The sequence below is a fragment of the Homo sapiens genome, chromosome 7, assembly GCF_000001405.40.
Source record: "Homo sapiens chromosome 7, GRCh38.p14 Primary Assembly".
Classification (NCBI taxonomy): domain Eukaryota; kingdom Metazoa; phylum Chordata; class Mammalia; order Primates; family Hominidae; genus Homo; species Homo sapiens.
The window spans coordinates 73,129,028-73,150,508 of NC_000007.14; the positions used below are offsets into that span (position 1 = coordinate 73,129,028).

At 47.6% G+C, this 21,481-nt stretch overlaps 1 protein-coding gene across 2 annotated transcripts in view; it reads right to left on the reverse strand.

Moving 5' to 3' along the window:
- Positions 1-21,481, reverse strand: part of SPDYE10 (speedy/RINGO cell cycle regulator family member E10) — a 51,424-nt gene that overhangs the window by 25,020 nt on the left and 4,923 nt on the right. The window contains exon 2 of one of the 2 annotated variants that reach the window (NM_001382504.2): positions 5,575-5,667. The exons of the other annotated variant lie outside the window; for it this stretch is intronic. The gene's annotated coding sequence lies outside the window, so the exon portion shown is untranslated. The remainder of the gene's footprint in view (positions 1-5,574; positions 5,668-21,481) is intronic. 2 annotated transcript variants of the gene reach the window in all.

The window sequence follows — 21,481 nt, forward strand, 5'->3', positions numbered from 1 at the left end:
CAGGTGATCCACCTGCCTAAGCCACCCAAAGTGCTGGGATTACAGGCGTGGGCCACCATGCCCGGCTGTATGTTCACTTTAAATTTTTTTCTTCTTCTTTTTAATTTAAAATTATTTTTATTTATTTATTTTTTGCTGAGGCTAGAGTGCAGTGGCACAATCACAGTTTGCTGCAGCCTCAACCTCACAGGCTCAAGTGATCCTCCTACTTCAGCCTCCTGAGTAGCTGGGACCACAGGAACACACCACCATACCCAGCTATATATATTTTGTAGAGACAAGGTCTTACTGTGTTGCCCGGGCTGGTCTTGAACTTCTGGACTCACGCGATCCTCCTGCTTTGGCCTCCCAAAGTGCTGGGATTACAGCCATAAGCCACTGTGTTGGACTTTTTGGTCATTTTAAATTTAGTTATTTTCTTACTACTGACTTTTGAGGATTCTTTACATTCTCAATAAAAGTCCTTTATCATTTATGTGCCTTGCAAACATTTTTTCCCGGTTTGTGGTTTGTTTTTCCATTTTCATAAGAGTGTCTTTTGAAAATCAGATGTTTTTAATTTTTATGAAATCTAGTTTAGCATATGTTTTTGTTTATGCTTCATGGATATAGAAGCTATATCTAAGAAACTTTTTTCCTAATCTAAGCTCACAAAGATTTTCTGCTATGTTTCCTTCGGGAAGTATTTTAATTTTGAGGTTGGATTTAGGTCTATGATCCATTTTGAAATAACTTTTGTTAAGTTGTAAGGTAGAGGTGGTCAAGGTTCTCTCTTTTTTAAAAAAACATATGCACGACTAGTTATTCCAATATCACTTGTTGTTTGTTTGTTTGTTGTTGAGACAGAGTCTTCCTCCGTCAACCAGGCTGAATAGAGTGCAGTGGTACAATCACAGGTCACTGCAGCCTCAAACTCAAGCAATCCTCCCACCTCAGGCTCCCAAGTAGCTGGGACTACAGGCACATAGCACCACACACAGCTGCTGCTTCTTTTTTTTTAGTGACAGGGTCTTGCTATGTTGTCCAGGCTGGTCATGAACTCCTGGCCTCAAGCCATCCTCCTGCCTCAGCCTCCCAAAGTGTTGGGATTACAGGCGTGAGCAGCCATGCCCAGCTGCAACACCATTTGTTGACATGACTACCATTTATCCATTTGATTGTCTTTGCCATTTTGTAAAAACCAGCTGACCCTGAGGTGGGCAGATTGCTTGAGCCCAAGAGTTCAAGACCAGCCTGGGCAACATGTTGAAACCCTATCTCTATTATTAAAAAAAAAAAAAAAATCAACTAACCATGTATGTGTTGGTTTATGGAGTTTCAAAACATGGTTAACAGGATAGAGCTTTTCGTGTTAGGGAGAAGGAAAGGGGAATTTAGATAGATAAAATTCTTTAATTTTTTCAAGATTTTGTTTGTTTTATTTATTTAGTTAGTTTAGTTTAGTTTTTGAGATGGAGTCTCACTCTGCTGCTCAGGGTGGAATGCAGTGGCACAATCTTGGCTCATTGCAACCTCCATCTCCTGAGTTCAGGCAATTCTGCCTCAGCCTCCTGAGTAGCTGGGATTACAGGCATGTGCCACCACACCTGGATAATTTTTGTATTTTTAGTAGAGACAAGGTTTCACTACATTGGCCAGTCTGGTCTCAAACTCCTGACCTCAAGTGATCTGCCTGCCTCAGCCTTCCAAAGTGCTGGGATTACAGGCATAAGCCACTGCACCCAGCCTGTTTTGTTTCAATTGCAAATAAGAATTGCACATATTTATGGGGTACCTAGGGATGTTTTGATACATATGCACAGGTTGTATGTGCAACCTCACAGATGACGTTCCCCATGAAACGCTCTGAGATGGATTGAGCAAGCAGGATATTTATTAAGCAGTGCCCTTGAAGGCCAGGCACAGTGGTTTATGGCTGTAATCCCAGCACTTTGGGAAGCTGAGGATTGCTTGAGCCCAGGAATTGGAATTCAAGACCAGCCTGGGCAACATAGCAAGACCCCCACCTCCACAAAAAATAAAAAAGCTGGGCATGATGGTGCATACCTGTAGTCCTAGCTACTCAGGAGGATGAGGCAGGAGGATCACTTGAACCCAGGAGTTAAGAGGCTGCAGTGAGCCATGATTGCACCACCGCACCTCCAACCTGGGTGACAGAGCAAGACACTGTCTCTTTAAAAAAAAAAAAAAAAAAGGTGTTCTTGAGAGCAAGAGGCCAGAAGGAAGCAGGAGCAAGCAATGGAGAAATGGTGAGAAGGTAAGCTTCCACTGAGCCCAGGAGAACAGGAGCTGAAACAGCCATTCACACTTGTCCAGGCTTGGCCAAGGTGGTTGGACCTCCACCCTTCCACGGCCATGGGATATTGGGAGAAGGAGTTCCCTGTAGTTGAGACAGTTCCTGTGGACAGCATTCACAGAGGGGCCACAAACCCTTCATGGAAGGTGGTGTGAACCATGTGCCTCTGCACTCTGCCACAGTAGGGCTGTACTTTGTGCTTTCTTTTTATTTTTCTTTTTCCTTTTTGAGACAGAATCTCACTCTTGTCACCCAGGCTGGAGTGCAATGGTGCGATCTCGGCTCACTGCAACCTCCACCTCCCAGGTTCAAGTGATTCTCCTGCCTCAGCCTCCCCAGTAGCTGGGACTACAGGTGTGCACCACCACATCTGGCTAATTTTTGTATTTTTAGTAGAGACGAGGTTTCATCATGTTGGTCAGGCTGGTCTCAAACTCCTGACCTCAAGTGATCCCCCCACCTCAGCTTCCCAAAGTGCTGGGATTACAGTCACGAGCCACCACACCTAGCCTTACGCTTTGTGTTTTCATCTGCATCTGCCATGAATGAGGAAGAATGCCTTTTCATATTCTTGGAGGGAAGTTCTAGAGAGGGTGACCAAGTGGCTCCAGGCCTTCGTGAGACAAAAGGGAACCCCTCTGGAGCAGCCTCTAGAGTAGTGGAAGGCCAGGCAGACCTGGATCTAATTTTAGTCTTTTGTGACCTAACTCTGCACTCCGAAGGGAGTGACTCAACTCCTCTGAGCCTCAGTTTCCCTCTCATAAAATGACAGAGATTGTGATTGTAGTGGAGGATAAAAAAGGAAGGGAAGGAGATGTCCTCACTTTAATCTAAACTCTGATCCTGTCCACAGAATTTAAGGACATTTAGTCAAATTCAGAGGCCCAGCAAAGTTGTTCCCATGGGTCAGTTTGCAAGAGGGACCCAAGAGCTAGGAAGAGGCTGGGCACAGTGGCTCACACCTGCAATCCCAGCACTTTGAGAGGCCAGGGTGGGTGGATTGCTTAAGATCAGGAATTCAAGATTAGCCTGGGCAACATAGCAAGACTCCATCTCTAAAGAAAATGAAAAAAACTAGCCAGGCATGGTGGTATGTGCCTGTAGTCCCAGCTACTCGGGAGGCTGAGGCAGCAGGATCCCTTGAATCCAGGATTTTGAGGCTGCAGTGAACTATGATCACATCACTGCACTCTAGCCTGGGTGACAGGGCAAGACCCTGTCTCAAAAAAAAAAAAAAAAAAAATAGATCTGAGGACCATTGACAACATGCTGGGTTCAGTGTGGCCTCCTGAGCCTGGTTCCAGCCTTCTATCTCCTTAGGCCTGGGGTGCGGATGATGCCTTACCCACTCACTCTGTTTGGGAGTTGAACAGTAAATTAAAGTGCTTCGTTATCTCATTTGAGAGTGGCGTAAAACACTTTGGAAAGGCTGGAGCATTCACAGCAATCAAGCTCTGAAAGGTTCTCAGTTGCTGGAAGGAATATCCTCTGATAGATTGCTCTTTTCTCTGAAACGTGGCTTACATCTCATGAGCAATTCCAGCAGTGTCCACTGCAGATGTTTTTGGCATCTTCACAAAGGAGTTAAAGAGATCAGACTCGTTCCCAAGAGAGAAAAATCATCTTTGCAATGTCCAAAAAGATTCCCTGGGCACAGCTCCCTCTGCTGTGACCTGCCAAGAAATTTTGGGGCTGCTTAGGACATGGGGTCATTCTCTAGCTCCAGTATACTCACCAGTGGTCAGTCACCACCTATGCATCGTGAGTCACTCCACAAACCTTAAATGAACATCATGTTGGGGAAGGCCATGCTTCGTCTCAGCCCTGCCCTCCCTGGGCTTACCATCCAAACTTGGCCCTGTGTAAATTCTACAGGATTCACCCCTGGTTTTCCTGTCCACTGACTCAAATGACCAACATCTCAACACCTTCCTGGGGGTCAGACATGCAGAGACTTGCATTTTCGTGATCATAAAATTGAGGTACAATGTATCCAAAATAAACCTTCAGAATCTCAGACTCCAGTCCTCTCCAGAATTAGTTTCCAGATTTTTAAACATTTAATTTTATTTTTAGAGAAGGGGTCTCACTATGTTGCCCAGGCTGTTCTTGAACTGCTGGGCTCAAGCAATCCTCCCATCTCAGCCTTCCAAAGTGCTGAGATTACAAGCATGAGCCACCATGCCTGGCCACTTAAAAATAATAATAATAATAATTTCTTGCTCTGTCACCCAGGCTGGAGTGCAGTGGTGCCATCATAGCTCACAGCAGCCTCAAACTTCCAGGCTCAGGTGATCCTCCCACTTCAGCCTCCCAAGCCACTGGGGGACGACAGGTGCTCACCACTGTGCCTGGCTACTTTTTTATTTTTTCATAGGGAGAAGGTCTTGCTAGGTTGCCCAGGCTGGTCTCAAACTCCTGGGCTGAAGTGAGCCTCCCACCTTGGCCTCCCAAAATGCTGGGGTTATAGGTATGAGCCACTGTGCCATCCCAGTTTCCAGAATATTAAAGAGCTTCTGTTGGGTTAGGCTTAGGAACAGGCAAAATAATAACAACAACAATTTTCCTCTGTTGGGCACTTCCCATTGGCCAGAACTGTACTCAGAACCAACACACATCACCCAGAATCCTTATAACAACCCCAATTTATAGATGGAAAAGTTGAAGCATGGAGGTATGAGTAGCAGGGGTGTGGAGGGCCTGCAACCTCTATCTTCCACCAGGTCAACCTTTTGGTTCTTAGAAACTGTGCAGGCAGGCACGTATGTTTATTGCGGCACTATTCACAATAGCAAAGACTTGGAACCAACCCAAATGTCCATCAATAATAGACTGGATTAAGAAATCCATTTATGGATTATGCAGCCATAAAAAAGGATGAGTTCATGTCCTTTGTAGGGACATGGATGAAGCTGGAAACCATCATTCTGAGCAAACTATCGCAAGGACAGAAAACCAAACACCGCATGTTCTCACTCATAGGTGGGAATTGAACAATGAAAACACTTGGACACAGGGTGGGGAACATCACACACCAGGGCCTGTTGTGCGGTGGAGGGAGGGGGGAGGGATAGCATTAGGAGATATACCCAATGTAAATGATGAGTTAATGGGTGTAGCACACCAGCATGGCACATGTATACATATGTAACAAATCTTCACATTGTGCACATGTACCCTACAACTTAAAGTATAATAAAAAAGAAAGAAAGAAAAAGAAAGAAAGAAAGAAAGAAAGAAAGAAACCGTGCAGGCAGGACAGGCATAATGGCTCATACCTGTAATCCCAGAATTTTGGGAGGCTGAGGCGGGCAGCTCACTTGAGGTCAGGAGTTCAAGACCAGCCTGGCTGACATGGCGAAACCCCGTCTCTACTAAAAATACAAGAATTAGCCAGGCTTGGTGGCATGCACCTGTATTTCCAGCTAGTTGAGAGGCTGAGGCAGGAGAATTGCTTGAACCCAGGAGGCGGAGGTTGCAGGGAGCCAGGATCATGCCACTGCACTGCAGCCTGGGCAACAGAAACCGCACAGGCAAGTCCTCAGCCATGGATTAAGACCAAAAAGAAAGAAAAAAAAAATGCTGAAAGGGCACAAGCTGAGGAGTGGGGAGGAGAGGAGAAGAGGCAGATGGAAGTGAGCCCAGGTGCAGAGAGAGATAGGAGGGAAAGACTGAGTGGCCTCTTGTCCTGCTGCAGCCTTGCCTATGGACAGCCTGGAGCTGTCATCCTCACCATGGTGCCTAGTGTTCCCTCACTGATCTGACTCATAGGTGTTCCTTCACCACCTCTGCCTGCTCAGCCCTGGGGCAGCCCTGGGGAGACCCAAGGAAAGCTGGGTCCACGTGCACCTTTCCTCCTAACCTCCTCTAGCCTCAGTCTCCCCATCTGTAGAAAGGGCACATGAATCCCTACCTCTCCAGAGGATCAGACGCAACAATGTACCCACGGGCACCAAGGAGAAGCCCTGGACACACACCCGTTTCCTTCCTTTCCTCCTTCATAAGTCAGGAAAGAGTACAGAATACAAGCCACAAAGGGAGCCTGCCCTTAAGCAAGACTGCCAAAGAATTGCTTTGTCCACGCATTCATTCATTCATTCATTCATTCATTCATTCATTCAACAGATACTTCCTGAGCATCTACTGTGTGCCAGGAAGAGCATTGAGGCTTTCCTTTCCTAAAGGCATTCTCTTTTCTTTCTTTTCTTTTTTTTTTTTTTGAGACAGAATCCCACTCTGTTGGCCAGACTGGAGTGCAGCGGTGCAATCTTGACTCACTGCAACCTCCGCTTCCTGGGTTCAAGAGATTCTTGTGCCCCACCACTCGAGTAGCTAGGATTACAGGCATGCATTGCCATGCTTGGCTAATTTTTGTAGCTGGGACTACAGGCACCTGCCACCATGCCGGGCTAATTTTTTGTATTTTTAGTAGAGACGGGTTTTCACCAAATTAGCAAGCATGGACTCAATCTCCTGACTTCGTGATCCCCCCACCTCGGCCTCCCAAAGTGCTGAGATTACAGGCATGAGCCACCACCGCACCCGGTCTTTTTTTTTTTTTTTTTTTTTTTTTTGAGATAGAGTTTTGTTCTTGTTGCCCAGGCTGGAATGCAATGGCGTGATCTCGGCTCACTTCAACCTCCACCTCCCGGGTTCAAGCAATTCTGACTCAGCCTCCCAAGTAGCTGGGATTATAGGCATGCGCCACCACACCCAGCTAATTTTTGTATTTTTAGTAGAGATGGGGTTTTACCATGTTGGCCAGGCTGGTCTTGAACTCCTGACCTCATGTGATCCACCTGTCTTGGCCTCCCAAAGTGCTAGGATTACAGGAGTGAGCCACTGTGCCTGGCCTATGTCTTTCTTTCTTTCTTTCTGTTTTTAATTTATATTTGTTTGAGCCCCTCCTTTGACATCTGTTTGTTTTTGTTGTATTGGTTTTTTTTTTTAGAGATAGGGTCTCATTCTGTCACCCAGGGTGGAGTGCAGTGGTGTGATCACAGCTCACTGCAACCTCCAATTCCTGGCCTCAAGTGATCCTCCTGCCTTAGCCTCCTGAGTAGCTGGGATGCAGGTGTGTGCTGCCACACCCAACTAATTTTTTTTAAATTTTAATATTTTCTTTTAGAGATAGAGTCTGGCTGTTTCACTCACGCTCCAGTGCAGTGGCAGGAGCATAGCTCGCTGCAACCTCAAATTCCTATGCTTAAGCAATCCTCCTGCCTCAGCCTCTTGAGTTGTTGAGGCACCTGTCATCACAACCAGCTGATTTCTTTTTTTATTATTACATTTTGTAGAGATGGGGTCTTGCTTTGTTGCCCAGGCTGGTCCTGAACTACTGGTTTCAAGTGATCCTCCCACCTCGGCCTCCCAAAGTGCTGGGATTACAGGCATGAGCCACTGCACCCGGCCTATTCAATAAACATGTATTCAGTCTGTACCTACTGTTCTAGGGACTGTGGACAGAGCACTGAGCAAGATAGGAAAAAACCAGCATGCACTCTGGGTGAGTGTCAGCAGAGCCGGTCTCAGGGGGCATGAGCCATGCAATTACACACTCGGTTTCATGCTGTACGGTGGCCATTTTGAAATCCTTAATAATTTTTCAACAAGAGCCCTCAAGTTTCATTTTGGAACGGGCCCTGCAAATTATGTAGCCGGTCCTGTGTGTCAGGCCAAACTAGCAGATAAGGAAATGAGGCACAGAGAGGGAAATAACTCCACCAAGGTTCACACAGGATGCAAGCCACACAGCTGGGATTGAAACCCAGGTTAGACTGGGTGCAGTGGCTCATGCCTGTAATCCCAGTACTTTGGGAGGCCAAGGTGGATGGATCATCTAAAGTCAGGAGTTCAAGACCAGCCTGACCAACACGGTAAAACTCCATCTCTACTAAAAATACAAAAATTAGCTGGGTGTGGTGTCTCACGCCTGTAATCCCAGCATTTTGGGAGGCCGAGGCGGGTGGATCACGAGGTCAGGAGATTGAGACCATCCTGGCTAACACGGTGAAACCCCGTCTCTACTAAAAATACAAAAAATTAGCCGGGCGAGGTGGCAGGCGCCTGTAGTCCAAGCTCCAAGCTACTTGGGAGGCTGAGGCAGGAGAATCGCTTGAACCTGGAAGGCAGAGGTTGCAGTAAGCCAAGATCGTGCTGCTGCACTCCAGCCTGGGCAACACAGTGAGACTCCAAAAAAAAAAGGAAAGAAAGAGAGAGAGAAAGAAAGAGAAAGAAAGAAGAGATGAAAGAAAGAAAGAAAGAAGAGATGAAAGAAAGAAAGAAAGAAAGAAAGAAAGAAAGAAAGAAAGAAAGAAAGGAGAAAGAAAGAAAAGAGAAAGAAAGAAAGAGGAGGGGAGGGGAGGGAGAGGGGAAGGGAAAGGGAGGGGGAGGGGAAGGGGGAGGGGAGGGAGAGGGGAAGGGGGAGTGGAGGGCGAGGGAAAGGGGAGGGGAAGGAGAGGGGAAGGGGAGGGGAAGGAGAGGAGAAGGGGAGGGGAAGGAGAGGAGAAGGGGAGGGGAAGGAGAGGAGAAGGGGAGGGGAAGGAGAGGAGAAGGGGAGGGGAAGGAGAGGGGAAGGGGAGGGGAAGGGAAGGGGAAGGGGAGGGGAAGGGAAGGGGAAGGGAAGGGGAAGGGAAGGGACCCAGGCTAACAGACTCCAGATACCAGCAGCAGCCCTTGAGCCATGTTGCCTAATTGTCCCCAAGGAGAAAACTTCCCAGGTCTTCGGAGGCAGCAAAAGCTTTCCTGGCACAGAGCTAGAAAAGAAGATTCTCATGGTGTCCCATGTGGCAGGAACTACAGGAGCTGGGGTGGGTAATCCATTTAGGCCACTTGACAAACACCTATTTTTAGGTCAACTCTGAGAATAGAAAGATGAAAAAGGAGTGGCCTCTGCCATCCTGGAGCTAAGCAACTGGTATAAGGGAAGTGACAGCCCCCATGGAATCGGACCATTTCAACTTCATGCGATGAATGACAGGTCAGGGCTTCTGGGCATGACCATAGGAATGACCACAGCTAACATTGACCATGGGCCTAATTTGTGTGCTGTTTGCTTTTTTTTTTTTTTGAGACAGAGTCTCACTCAAGTCACCAGGCTGGATGGAGTGCAGTGGTGCAATCTCAGCTCACTGCAACCTCCGCCTCCCAGGTTCAAGCGATTCTCCTGCCTCAGCCTCCCGAGTAGCTGGGATTACAGGCGCGCACCACCACGCCCAGCTAATTTTTGTATTTTTAGTAGAGACGGGGTTTCACCATGTTGGCCAGGATGGTCTCAATCTCTTGACCTCGTGATCCACCCACCTCACCCTCCCAAAGTGCTGAGATTACAGGTCTGAGCCACTGCGCCCAGCCATGCTGTGTGCTTTTTAGCATTTTCTTCAGTTTTTGTTGCAACCTATGAGTCAGGAACTCTTATTATGCTATTTTACCTAGGAGGAAAAGAGCATTCACAGAGATTAAACAGTGTGTTCAGGCCGGGTGTGGTGGTAATCACATCCATGACCGTAATCCCAGCACTTTGGGAGGCCAAAGCGGGAGGATTGCTTGAGTCCAGGAATTCAAGACCAGCCTGGGCAACTTAGTAAAACCTCCATCTCTTTTGTAAAAAAATAAATAATAAAATACTTTAGGAGGCCAAGGCAGGCAGATCACTTGAGGTCAGGAGTTCAAGATCAGCCTGGCCAACATGGTGAAACCCCGTCTCTACTATAAATACAAAAATTAGCTGGGTGTGGTGGCATGCGCCTGTAGTCCCAGCTACTCAGGAGGCTGAGGCAGGAGAATTGCTTGAACCTGGGAGGCAGAGGTTGCAGTGAGCTGAGATCACGCCACTGCACTCCAGCCTGGGTGACAGAGCGAGACTCTGTCAAAAAATAATAATAAAAATAATCATAAAATAAGATAAAAATATAAATAAAAAATAAACAACATGCCTAAAACCACGCAGCTAGAAGAAGGCAGTGTCAGAACTCAGCTATGTCTGACATCAGAGACCACGATTTTTTTTTTTTTTTTGAAATGGAGTCTTGCTCTTGTCACCCAGGCTGGAGTGTAATGGGACGATCTCAGCTCACTGCAACCTGCGCCTCCCAGGTTCAAGCAATTCTCCTGCCTCAGCCTCCCAAGTAGCTGGGATTACAGGCGCCCGCCACCACACCTGGCTAATTTTTGTATTTTTAGTAGAGACAAGGTTTCACCATGTTGGCCAGGCTGGTCTCGAACTCCTGACCTCATGATCTGTCCACCTCAGCCTCCCAAAGTGCTGAGATTACAGGCATGAGCCACCACGCCCCCTGGCCTTTTTTTGTTTTTGTTTGTTTGTTTGTTTTTTGTGTTTTTTTTTTTCTTTTGAGGTGGAGTCTCCCTCTGTTGCCCAGGCTGGAGTGCAGTGGCGCGATCTCGGCTCACTGCAAGCTCCATCTCCTGGGTTCACGCCATTCTCCTGCCTCAGCCTCCAGAGTAGCTGGAACTACAGGCACCCACCACCATGCCCAGCTAATTTTTTGTATTTTTTAGTAGAGACGGGGTTTCACCGTGTTAGCCAGGATGGTCTCGATCTCCTGACCTTGTGATCTGCTCGCCTAGGCCTCCCAAAGTGCTGGGATTACAGGCGTGAGCTACAGCGCCCGGCCTTTTTTTTTTTTGAGACAGTCTCTGTCGCCCAGGCTGTAGTGTAGTGGTACAATCTCCACTCACTGCAACCTCCGCCACCTAGGTTCAAGTGATCAAGTGATTTTCCTGCCTCAGCCTCCCAAGTAGCTGGGATTACAAGCATACACCACCACACCCAGCTAATTTTTGTATTTTTAGTAGAGGGGTTTTGCCATATTGGCCAGTCTGGTCTTGAACTCCTGGCTTCAAAGTGATCCGCCAGCTTGGCCTCCCAAAGTGCTGAGATTACAGGCATGAGCCACCATACCTGGCCAGAGACCATGATCTTAACGAGCATATGGCCCTGCCCCAAAGAACTGTGGACATACAGATGAGAGGCAGGTACCCCACACTGCTGGGAAAAATCACAGAAAGCTTCCCGGAGGAGGTGATGACAGAGGTGAAATAAATATGGATCTGTCAGCCTGTACAAGGGTCAGAGGCCATGAGAGAGTATGGAAGAGGGAGAGAGATCTTTCACTGGAGGGTAAAGTACTAGGCTGGGAATGGTGGCAGATGGGACCAGAGATATAAGCAAAGACCACACCACAGTGAGCCTTGAATGCCAAGTACATCAGTTATGGGTCTTAGCTGCAAGCAACAGAATCCATTCTGGTCAGTCTACATAGCAAAGAAATGAATGAATGAATTTATTTATTTATTGAGATGAATTCTTGCTCTATCGCCCAGGCTGGAGTGCAGTGGCACGATCTTGGCTCACCGCAACCTCTGCCTCCAGGGTACAAGCCATTCTCCCGCCTCAGCCTCCCGAGTAGCTGAAATTACAGGCATGTGCCACCATATCCAGCTAATTTTTGTATTTTTAGTAGAGATGGGGTTTCACCATATTGGCCAGGCTGGTCTCGAACTCCTGACCTCAAGTGATCCACCCCCCTTGGCCTCCCAAAGTGCTGGGATTACAGGTGTGAGCCACCTCACCTGGCCAGAAATTTATTTTTAATATGTCAAGTAAACTGACCAGGTGTGGTGGCTCACAACCGTCATCCCAGCTCTTTGGGAAGCCAAGGCAGGAGGATCACTTGAGGCCAGGAGTTTGAGACCAGCCTGGGCAACATAGCAAGACTCCATTTCTACCACACACACACACACACACACACACACACACACACACACACAGACAAAATTAGCCGGCGTGAGGCTTGAATGCCAACTGCATCAGTTATGGGTCTTAGTTGCAATCAACAGAATCCATTCTGGTCAGTTTACATAGCAGAGGAATTTATTTTTAAAACATCAAGTAAACTGGCCAAGTGTGATGGCTCCTACCAGTAATCCCAGCACTTTGGGAGTCTGAGGCGGGCAGATCACCTGAGGTCAGATCACCTGCGGTCAGGAGTTCAAGACCAGCCTAGCCAACATGGTGAAACCCTGTCTGTATTAAAAATATGGGAGGCTGAGGAGGGAGGATCACTTGAGCCCAGGAGATTGAGGCTGCAGTGAGCTATGATCACACCACTACTCTCCAGCCTGAGTGACAGAGTGAGACTGTCTCAAAGAAAATTAATTTTTTTTTGTACACTATCACAGCCAAGAAGAGCCCAAGAAGACATTACTACTAACTGTCACATGGTGTCACGGATGGGATCTTCGGACAGAAAAAGGAAATTGGGCCAGGCGCGGTGGCTCACGCCTATAATCCCATCACTTTGGGAGGCTGAGGTGGGTGGATCACCTGAGGTCGGGAGTTCAAGACCAGCCTGACCAACATGGAGAAAACCCCGTCTCTACTAAAAATACAAAATTGGCCAGGGTGGTGGCGCATGCCTGTAATCCCAGCTGCTCGGGAGGCTGAGGCAGGAGAATCACTTGAACCCGGGAGACGGAAGTTGCGGTGAGCCAAGATCGCGCCATTGCACTCCAGCCTGGGCAACAAGAGTGAAACTCCGTCTCAAAAAAAAAAAAGAAAGAAAGAAAAAAAAAAGAAAAGAAAAAGGAAATTGGTAAAAATTAAGGAGATCTAACTAAAGTATGGACTTAAGTTAATTACAATGTATTAATTTCAGTTCATTAACGGTAACAAATATACTATACCAGTGCAAGATGTTAATAAAAGGGGGAAATGGTACAGGATATATGCGAATCCTACTGTCTTAACAATTTTTCTGTAAATTTAAAACCATTGTAAGATGAAGAGTCTATTTTTAGAGTACTGAGTAAATTGTATGGAACTAAACACACACGCACAATTACATGTAAAACTGGTAGAACCTGGATAAGTTCAGTGGATGGTATCAAAGGCAATTTCCTGGTTGTGAGATTGTACTACAGTTTTGCAAGCTGTTACCATTGGGGGAAATTGCATGAAGGGCACGAGGGCTCTCTGGGTATTAATGTCTTACAATTGCAAGTGAATCTACAATTATCTTAAGATAACAAGCCTAATTTTATTTATTTATTTTATAGAGACAGGCTTTCACTGTATTGGCCAAACTTGTCTCAAACTCCTGGCCTCGAGCGATCCTCCCACCTTGGCCTCCCAAAGTGCGGAGATTACAGACATGAGCTATATAGTACCCGGCCAAAAAGCTTAATTTTAAAACATTGAACAGAGAACAGGATCTTTTGGAAAGCTGAAGAAATAAAGTCTAGGCTTAAAGTTATAGGACCCTTACCCAGCACCATGGGGCAGAACTGTCCTGATAAGAAAATGAAGCTGTGGGCCAGGCACAGTGGCTGATGCCTGTAATCCCAGCACTTTGGGAAGCTGAGGTGGGTGGATCACTTAAGGTCAGGAGTTCGAGACCAGCTTAGCCAACATGGTGAACCCCCATCTCCGCTATACAAAAATTAGCCGGGTGTGGTGGTGGGCGCCTGTAGTCCCAGCTACTTGGGAGTCTAAGGCATGAAAATCACTTGAATCTAGGAGGCGGAGATTGCAGTGAGCTGAGATCACACCACTGAACTCCAGCCTGGGCAACAGAGCAAGACTCTGTCTCAAAAAAAAAGAGAGAGAGGGAGGGAGGGAAGGAGAGAGGGAGGGAGGGAGGAAGGAAGGAAGGAAGGAAGGAAGGAAGGAAGGAAGGAAGGAAGGAAGGAAAGAAGGAAGGAAGAAAATGAAGCTGTGGCAGCTTCCACAGCCACACCTTCTGCAGGACTTCACCTTTCTAAATGTCAAGTTGTATTTTCCCAAAATGGCTACAAAAGTAACTTCATCCAACATGCTCTTCTGCAAAGTAACTTTGTCCTCCTCCATCAAGAAGCAGGGTCTATGACCCTGTCTTAGTCTGTTTTTGTTGCTATAAAGGAATACCTGAGGCTGGGTGATTTATAAAGAAAAGAGGTGTATTTGGCTCGTGGTTCTGCAGGCTGTACAAGAAGCATGGTGCCAGCATCTGCTGCTAGTGAGGACCGCAGGAAGCTTCCTATCATAGTGGAAGATGAAGGGGGGCCGACAAGATCACGTGGTGAGCAACAGACATGCCAGGTTCTTTCAAAGATCCAGCTCTTTGAAAGAATGAGTGAATAGAGCAAGAATTCACTCATTACCACAGGGAGGGCACCAAGCCATTCATGAGGCATCTGCCCCCATGACCCAAACACCTCCCACTTGGCCTCATCTCCAATACTGGGGATCACATTTCAACACGAGATTTAGAGGGGACAAATATTCAGACTATATCAGCCCCCTCCCCTAACTCAAGCTGGGGTTGTACCTGTTTCAACCCAGAGAATACCATGCAGGTGACATCCCTATGATTTCTCTTTTTGTGTGTTGTTTTGAGATGGAGTCTTGCTCCGTTGCCCAGGCTGGAGTGCAGGGGCGCAACCTCGGCTCACTGCAACCTCTGCCTCCTGGGTTCAAGCAATTCTCATGCTTCAGCTCCCGAGTAGCTGAGACTGTAGACATGCACCACCACGCCTGGCTAATTTTTGTATTTTCAGTAGAGACAGAGTTTCACCATCTTGACCAGGCTGGTGTCAAACTCCTGGCCTCAAGTGATCTGCCCACCTCAGCCTCGCAAAGTGCTGGGATTATAGGCACGCACCACCACACCCAGCTAATTTTTGTATTTTTAGTAGAGACGGAGTTTCACCATGTTGGCCAGGCTGGTGTCAAAATCCTGGTCTCAAATGATCCACCCACCTCAGCCTCTCAAAGTGGTGGGATTACAGGCTTGAGCCACCGCGTCCAGCAGCCACCGCACCCAGCTTGATTTCTGAGGTTAGGTCATAAAAGGCCATGTGGCTTCCAGCTGACTTTCTTGGCACATTTGCTCTCCAGACTCTCCCTGCGATATCCTCTCTGGGAATCCAGCTGCCAAGCTGTGAGAAGCCCTAGCCCCATGGAGAGAGGCACCCGTCAACCAGGCTTCAGACACAGAGTAAAGAAGCTTCCAGGCGACCCCAGCCCCCAGGCATCCAAATCACCGCCAGCATTCAGGTCTTTCCAAGTAAAGGCCAGATACCACAGAGCAAAGACAAACTGTTCTCACAGGCCCTGTCTGAATTAGCAACCTATAGAATTTGTGAGTTCAGGCCAGGCATGGTGGCCCACACCTGTAATTCTAACACTTTGGGAGGCAGACGTGGGAGAATCACTTGAGATCAGGAGTTTGAGACCAGTCTGGGCAACATGATGAAACTCCATCTCTACCAAAAAATACAAATATTAGCCAGGTGTGGTGGTGTGTGCCTGTAGACCCAGCTACTTGTGAGGCTGAGGTGGGAGGATCGTTTGAGGCTGCAGGGAACCGTGATGACGCCACTGCACTCCAGCCTGGGTAAGAGTGAGACCCTGTCTCAAAAAAAAAAAAGAATTCTCCCAGCACTTTGGGAGGCCGAGGCGGGAGGATCACCTGAGATCAGGACTTCCAGACCAGCCTGGCCAACATGGTGAAACCCCGTCTCTACTAAAAATACAAAAAAAAAATTAACTGGGCATTGTGGTGTGCACCTGTAATCCCAGCTACTCGGGAGGCTGAGGCATGAGAATTGCTTGAGGCAGAGGTTGCAGTGACTGAGATTGTGCTACGGCACTCCAGCCTGGGTGATGGAGTGAGGCTTCGTCTCAAAAAAAAAAAAAAAAAGAAGAATTAATGAGTTAATATAATGTCATGTCCTATTTTCCTTCCTTCCTGCTTTTTCTTTCTTCTTTCTTTCTTTCTTTCCTCTTTCTTTCTTTCTTTCTTTTCTTTCTTTCTTTCTCTTTTTCTTTCTTTCTTTCTTTCTCTTTCTCTCTCTCTTTCATCTTTTCTTTCTTTCGTCTTTCTTTTCTTTCTTTGGCCTTTCATTTCTTTCTTTTGTCTTTCTTTTCTTTCATTCTTTCTTTTTGACAGGGTCTTGCCTGGCTGCCCAGACAACAGTGCAGTGGTGCAATCACAGCTCACTGCAGCCTTGAACTCCTCAGTTCCAGTGATTCTCCTGCCTCGGCCTCCCAAGTAGTTGGGACAACAGACGTGCGCCACCATCCCCAGCTATTTTTTTAAAAAAATGTTTTAAGACAGGATCTTGCTAGTCTCAAACTCCTGGTCTCAAGCAATCCTCCCATCTCAGCCTCCCAAGTTGTTGGGATTACAGGCATGAGCCACCGTGCTTAGAGGCATAAGCCACTGCACCGGGCTATTTTGTCATTTTTCTCCACTAAGTGTGAGCTATGTAGTATACAGTAATTGTTACCAGACAAATCCCTGCTGCCTTCTCTGAAATCCCATCCATGAACCTTGTGCTCACTTCTGAACCTGAGCCATACACAGTTCTGATGTGCCTGCATCTTAGCCACAGGGAGGCTGCAGAAGCTCACCTTGTGAAGACAAGGCTTGTGACATGGGAAATCATCAAAATCTATGCCGGGCGGCCGCCATGCACAGAAGGCCACTAGGTCAGACCAAGTGTGGACTAACGGTAGCCTGTAACAGAAGAGACCTCCCCTCATCGCACCCAGCCCCATCATGATTTGAACCTCTCTAGAACCTGCCATGTTGAATTGGGTGCTGACTTCACTCTGCTATTTTTTTTTTTTTTTTTTTTTGAGACAGAGTCTCACTCTGTCGCCCAGGCTGGAGTGCAGTGGCATGATCTCGGCTCACTGCAACCTCTGCCTCCCAGGTTTCAGCAATTCTCCTGGCTCAGCCTCCTGAGTAGCTGGGATTATAGGCGCCCGCCACAACACCAAGTTAATTTTTTTGTATTTTTAGTGGAGATGGGGTTTGGTTTCACCATGTTGGCCAGGCTGGTCTCAAACTCCTGAACTCAAGTGATCCGCCTGCCTCGACCTCCCAAAGTGCTGCCAAAATATTAGCATTTTGACCAGGCACAGTGGTTCACATCTGTAATCCCAGCACTTTGTGAGGCTGAGGCAGGCAGATCACCTGAGGTCAGGAGTTCGAGACAAGCCTGGTCAACATGGTGAAACCCCGTCTCTACCAAAAATACAAAAATTAGCTGGGCATGATGACGCGCGCCTGTAGCTCCAGCTACTCAGGAGCCTGAGGCAGGAGAATCGCTTGAACCCGGGAGGCAGAGGTTGCAATGAGCCAAGATGGTGCTGCTGCACTCCAGCCTGGGCGAGGGAGCAAGACTCCATCTCAAAAAAAAAAAAAAAAAAAGTTGGTGCGGGGGCTCACGCCTGTAATCCCAGCACTTTGGAGGCCGAGGCGGGCAGATCACTTGAGGTCAGGGGTTCCAGACTAGCCTGGCCAACACAGTGAAACCCTGTCTCTGCTGTAAAAAAAAATTAGCTGGGCGTGGTAGCGCATGCCTGTAATCTCAGCTACTCAGGAGGCTGAGGCAGGAGAATCACTTGAACACAGGAGGCAGAGGTGGCAGTGAGCCAAGATTGCACCACTGTACTCCAGCCTGGGTGACAGAGTGAGACTCCATCTCAGAAAAAAAAAAAAAAGTGTTTCAACATATAATCAATATTTTTAAATTATTAATAAAATACTTTGAAGTTTTTTCATAATAATCTTTGCAATCCAGGGTTCATTTTACACATGATAGCACATCTCAGTTTGGATGCTTAATTTTCATTCACAATACTCGATCTGTATTTAGAGTTCATAGATTTACATAAGTAAATTGTTTCAAAGTCCTGTGACCAATTTGTCTTCCTGGAGAATGTCCTGGTTTCAAAAATGAAAGTCTTACATCTTGAAATTCTCCTTGGTCCCAGGAAAATCAGGGCAGTTGGTCAACCTCTTCCAAACATACTTGGAGATTTTTCTTTTCTTTTTTTTTTTTTTCTTTGAGACATAGTCTCACTCACTCTGTCACCCAGGCTGGAGTGCAGTGGCGCCATCTTGGCTCACTGCAACCGCCATCTCTCAGGTTGAGGTGATTCTCCTGCCTCAGCCTCCCTAGTAGCTGGGATTACAGGCACATGCGACCATTCCCAGCTAATTTTTTTGTAATTTTAGTAGAGACGGGATCTCACCATATTGACCAGGTTAGTCTCGAACTCTTGACCTCAAGTGATCTGCCCAACTCAAGCCCCTCAACATGCTGGGATGACAGGCGTGAGCCACTGCACCCAGCTGGGTTTTGTTTTTTGGTTTGTACTGTGTTTGTTTTGTTTTTTTGAGATGGAATCTCACTCTATTGCCCAGGCTGGAGTCAGTGGTGCAATCTCAGCTCACTGTAACCTCCGCCTCCCAGGTTCAAGCGATTCTCCTGCCTCAGCCTCCCGAGTAGCTGAGATTACAGTCACTCACCACCATGCCCTGCTAACTTTTGTATTTTTAGTAGAGGCAGGGTTTCACCACGTGGACCAGGCTGGTCTCAAATTTCTGACATCAGGCGATCCACCTGCCTCAGCCTCCCGAAGTGCTGGGATTACAGGCATAAGCCACCATACCTGGCCTGTTTTTTGTTTGTTTGTTTGTTTGTTTGTTTTTTGAGACAGAGTCTAGTTGCCCAGGCTGGAGTGCAATGGCATGATCTTGGCTCACTGCCACCTCCGCTTCCCCGGTTCAAGCGATTCTCCTGCCTCAGCCCCTCAAGTAGCTGGGATTACAGGTGCATGCCACCATACCCAACTAATTTTTTTTTTGTATTTTTAGTAGAGATGGGGTTTTCACCATGTTGGCCTAGCTGGTCTCAAACTCCTGACCTCAAGTGATCTGCCTGTCTTGGCCTCCCAAAGTGCTGGGATTACAGGCATGAGCCATCATGCCTGGCCAGCAAGCAAGACATAGGGTTTATTGAGGGGACTTACAGGGTAGTCCAGACATGGCAGGTGGAACAGGAGAACCACACCTGCTTATAAAAAGCATGCAGTTGGGCCCAGCACGGTGGCTCATGCCTGTAATCCCAGCACTCTGGGAGGCCAAGGCGGGTGGATCACAAGGTCAGGAGATCGAGATCATCCCGGCTAACACAGTGAAACCCCGTCTCTACTAAAAATACAAAAAATTAGCTGGGCGTGGTGGCGGGCACCTGTAGTCCCAGCTACTCAGGAGGCTGAGGCAGGAGAATGGCATGAACCTGGGAGGCGGAGCTTGCAGTGAGCCGAGATGGCGCCACTGCACTCCAGCCTGGGTGACAGAGCAAGACTCCATCTCACAAAAAAAAAAAAGCATGCAGTTTATAGAGCATTTCCACTTAGCACCCTCCCCCTAGCACCCTCCCTCTGGCAACCTTCATTTAACCCCAAACAAAGGCCACCATCCCCTAGATGGTCCAGGGGTTCAGATGTTCCTCATAGATAAGAAATGAATCTCCGGGTTGGCCACTCCTGGATTCCTTAGCTTAGAACTTTCAACACATACTCTTCTTAGACCATGGGGTCATTTTCAAGGTATGCTGATGTTACTGTTGCCAGATGTGTTTGCCATGCATCATAGCTAACCACTAGGAAGTTCTATAAGTGAGGGAGGGCCTTAAGAACATACTCTGAGCTGGAAGTGTCAAGTTGGAGGCCCTTGACATTAGAAGCCAGAGACTGGGTACACCCACATAGTGAGAGAAGGTGAGGGCTGCGGGGATGTGTCAGCTATATCCATTGCTACCCAACAAACCATTCCAAGTCTTAATGACGAAAAATAACTTTTTTTTTTTTTTTGTCAGAGGCAGGTTCTCACTCTGTCACCCAGGCTGGAATGCAATGGTGCAAACACGGCTCACTGTAGTCTCAACCTCCTGGGCTCAAGTGATCCTCCCACGTCAGCCTCCGAAGTAGCTGGAACTACAGGCGTGCGTCACCATGCCCAGGTAATTTTTGTATTTTTTTGTAGAGAAGGGGTTTTGCCATGTTGCCCCGCCTGGTCTTGAAGTCCTGACCTCAAGGGCTCCACCCGCCTTGGCCTCCCAAAGTGCTGGGATTACAGGTGTGAGCCACTGTGCCCAGACAACAGCTATTTTTTGGGGGGGCGGGGGACAGAGTCTCGCTCTGTCACCCAGGCTGGAGTGCAGTGGCGCAATCTCAGCTCACTGCAAGCTCCACCTCCTGGGTTCATGCCATTCTCCTGCCTCAGCCTCCCAAGTAGCTGGGACTACAGGTGCCCGTCACCATGCCCGGCTAATTTTTTGTATTTTCAGTAGAGACGGGGTTTCACCATGTTAGCCAGGATGGTCTCAATCTCCTAACCTTGTGATTCACCTGCCTTGGCCTCCCAAAGTGCTGGGATTACAGGCGTGAGCCATTGTGCCCAGCCAACAGCTATTTTTTTATTCATCGTGTTTCTATTGGTTGGCTGGATAGTTCTGGTTTCACCTGGGCTCATGTGTGTGGCTGCACTCAGTTAGACAGTCAGATGCAAAGTCCAAGATGGTCTCGTTCACATCTTAGCATGCTCTAGTAGTTGGTGCTAGCTGTTGGCAGAGGCCTGACACAGCTGGAACACCTGGACCTCTTCATGTGATCTTTCTTGCAAGCTTCTTTACAGCGTGATGGTCTCAGGGCAGCATTCTTTCCGAGAGGGCAAGTCCCAATGCACAGGACTTAGGGAGCAGATTTGCCAATACCCCATTGGCCAAAGCCGTGAAAATCACATAGCCAGACCTAGAGTCAATCAGTGAAAGACCAGAAAAGGGCAGTGCTAAGGAACCCAAAGAGGAGGGAATTCTACCAGGACGGTGCCCATCCAACACTTGTGTTACCTTGGGAGCCAGTACCTCCTTAAATTCAGGGCCCAAAGTGCCTCAACTTGCTTCACCCCAATTCCAGCCTGAATCCTCAGGACTTGGCAACTCAGAGGTCAATTTCCTTAACACCCCAACATGAATTTCGGAAGTTAGTTTCACAGAAATCTTAAGCACCAAATACAACTGAGCGAAAGCAATTCTGCAAGTCAAAAACAAGGTGGTCTAAATTTGCAAACTTTATGGCAGTCTGGCTTGATGAAATATAAAGCCCACAATGCTTTTAAACAGTTTTGGCCAGGCACAGTGGCTCACGCCTGTAATCCCAGCATTTTGGGAGGCTGAGGCGGGCAGATCACCTGAGGCCAGGAGTTTGAGACCAGCCTTGCCAACATGGTAAAACCCCGTCTCTACTAAAAATACAAAAATTGGCTGGGCGTGGTGGCTCACACCTGTAATCCCAGCACTTTGAGAGGCCAAGGTGGGTGGATCACG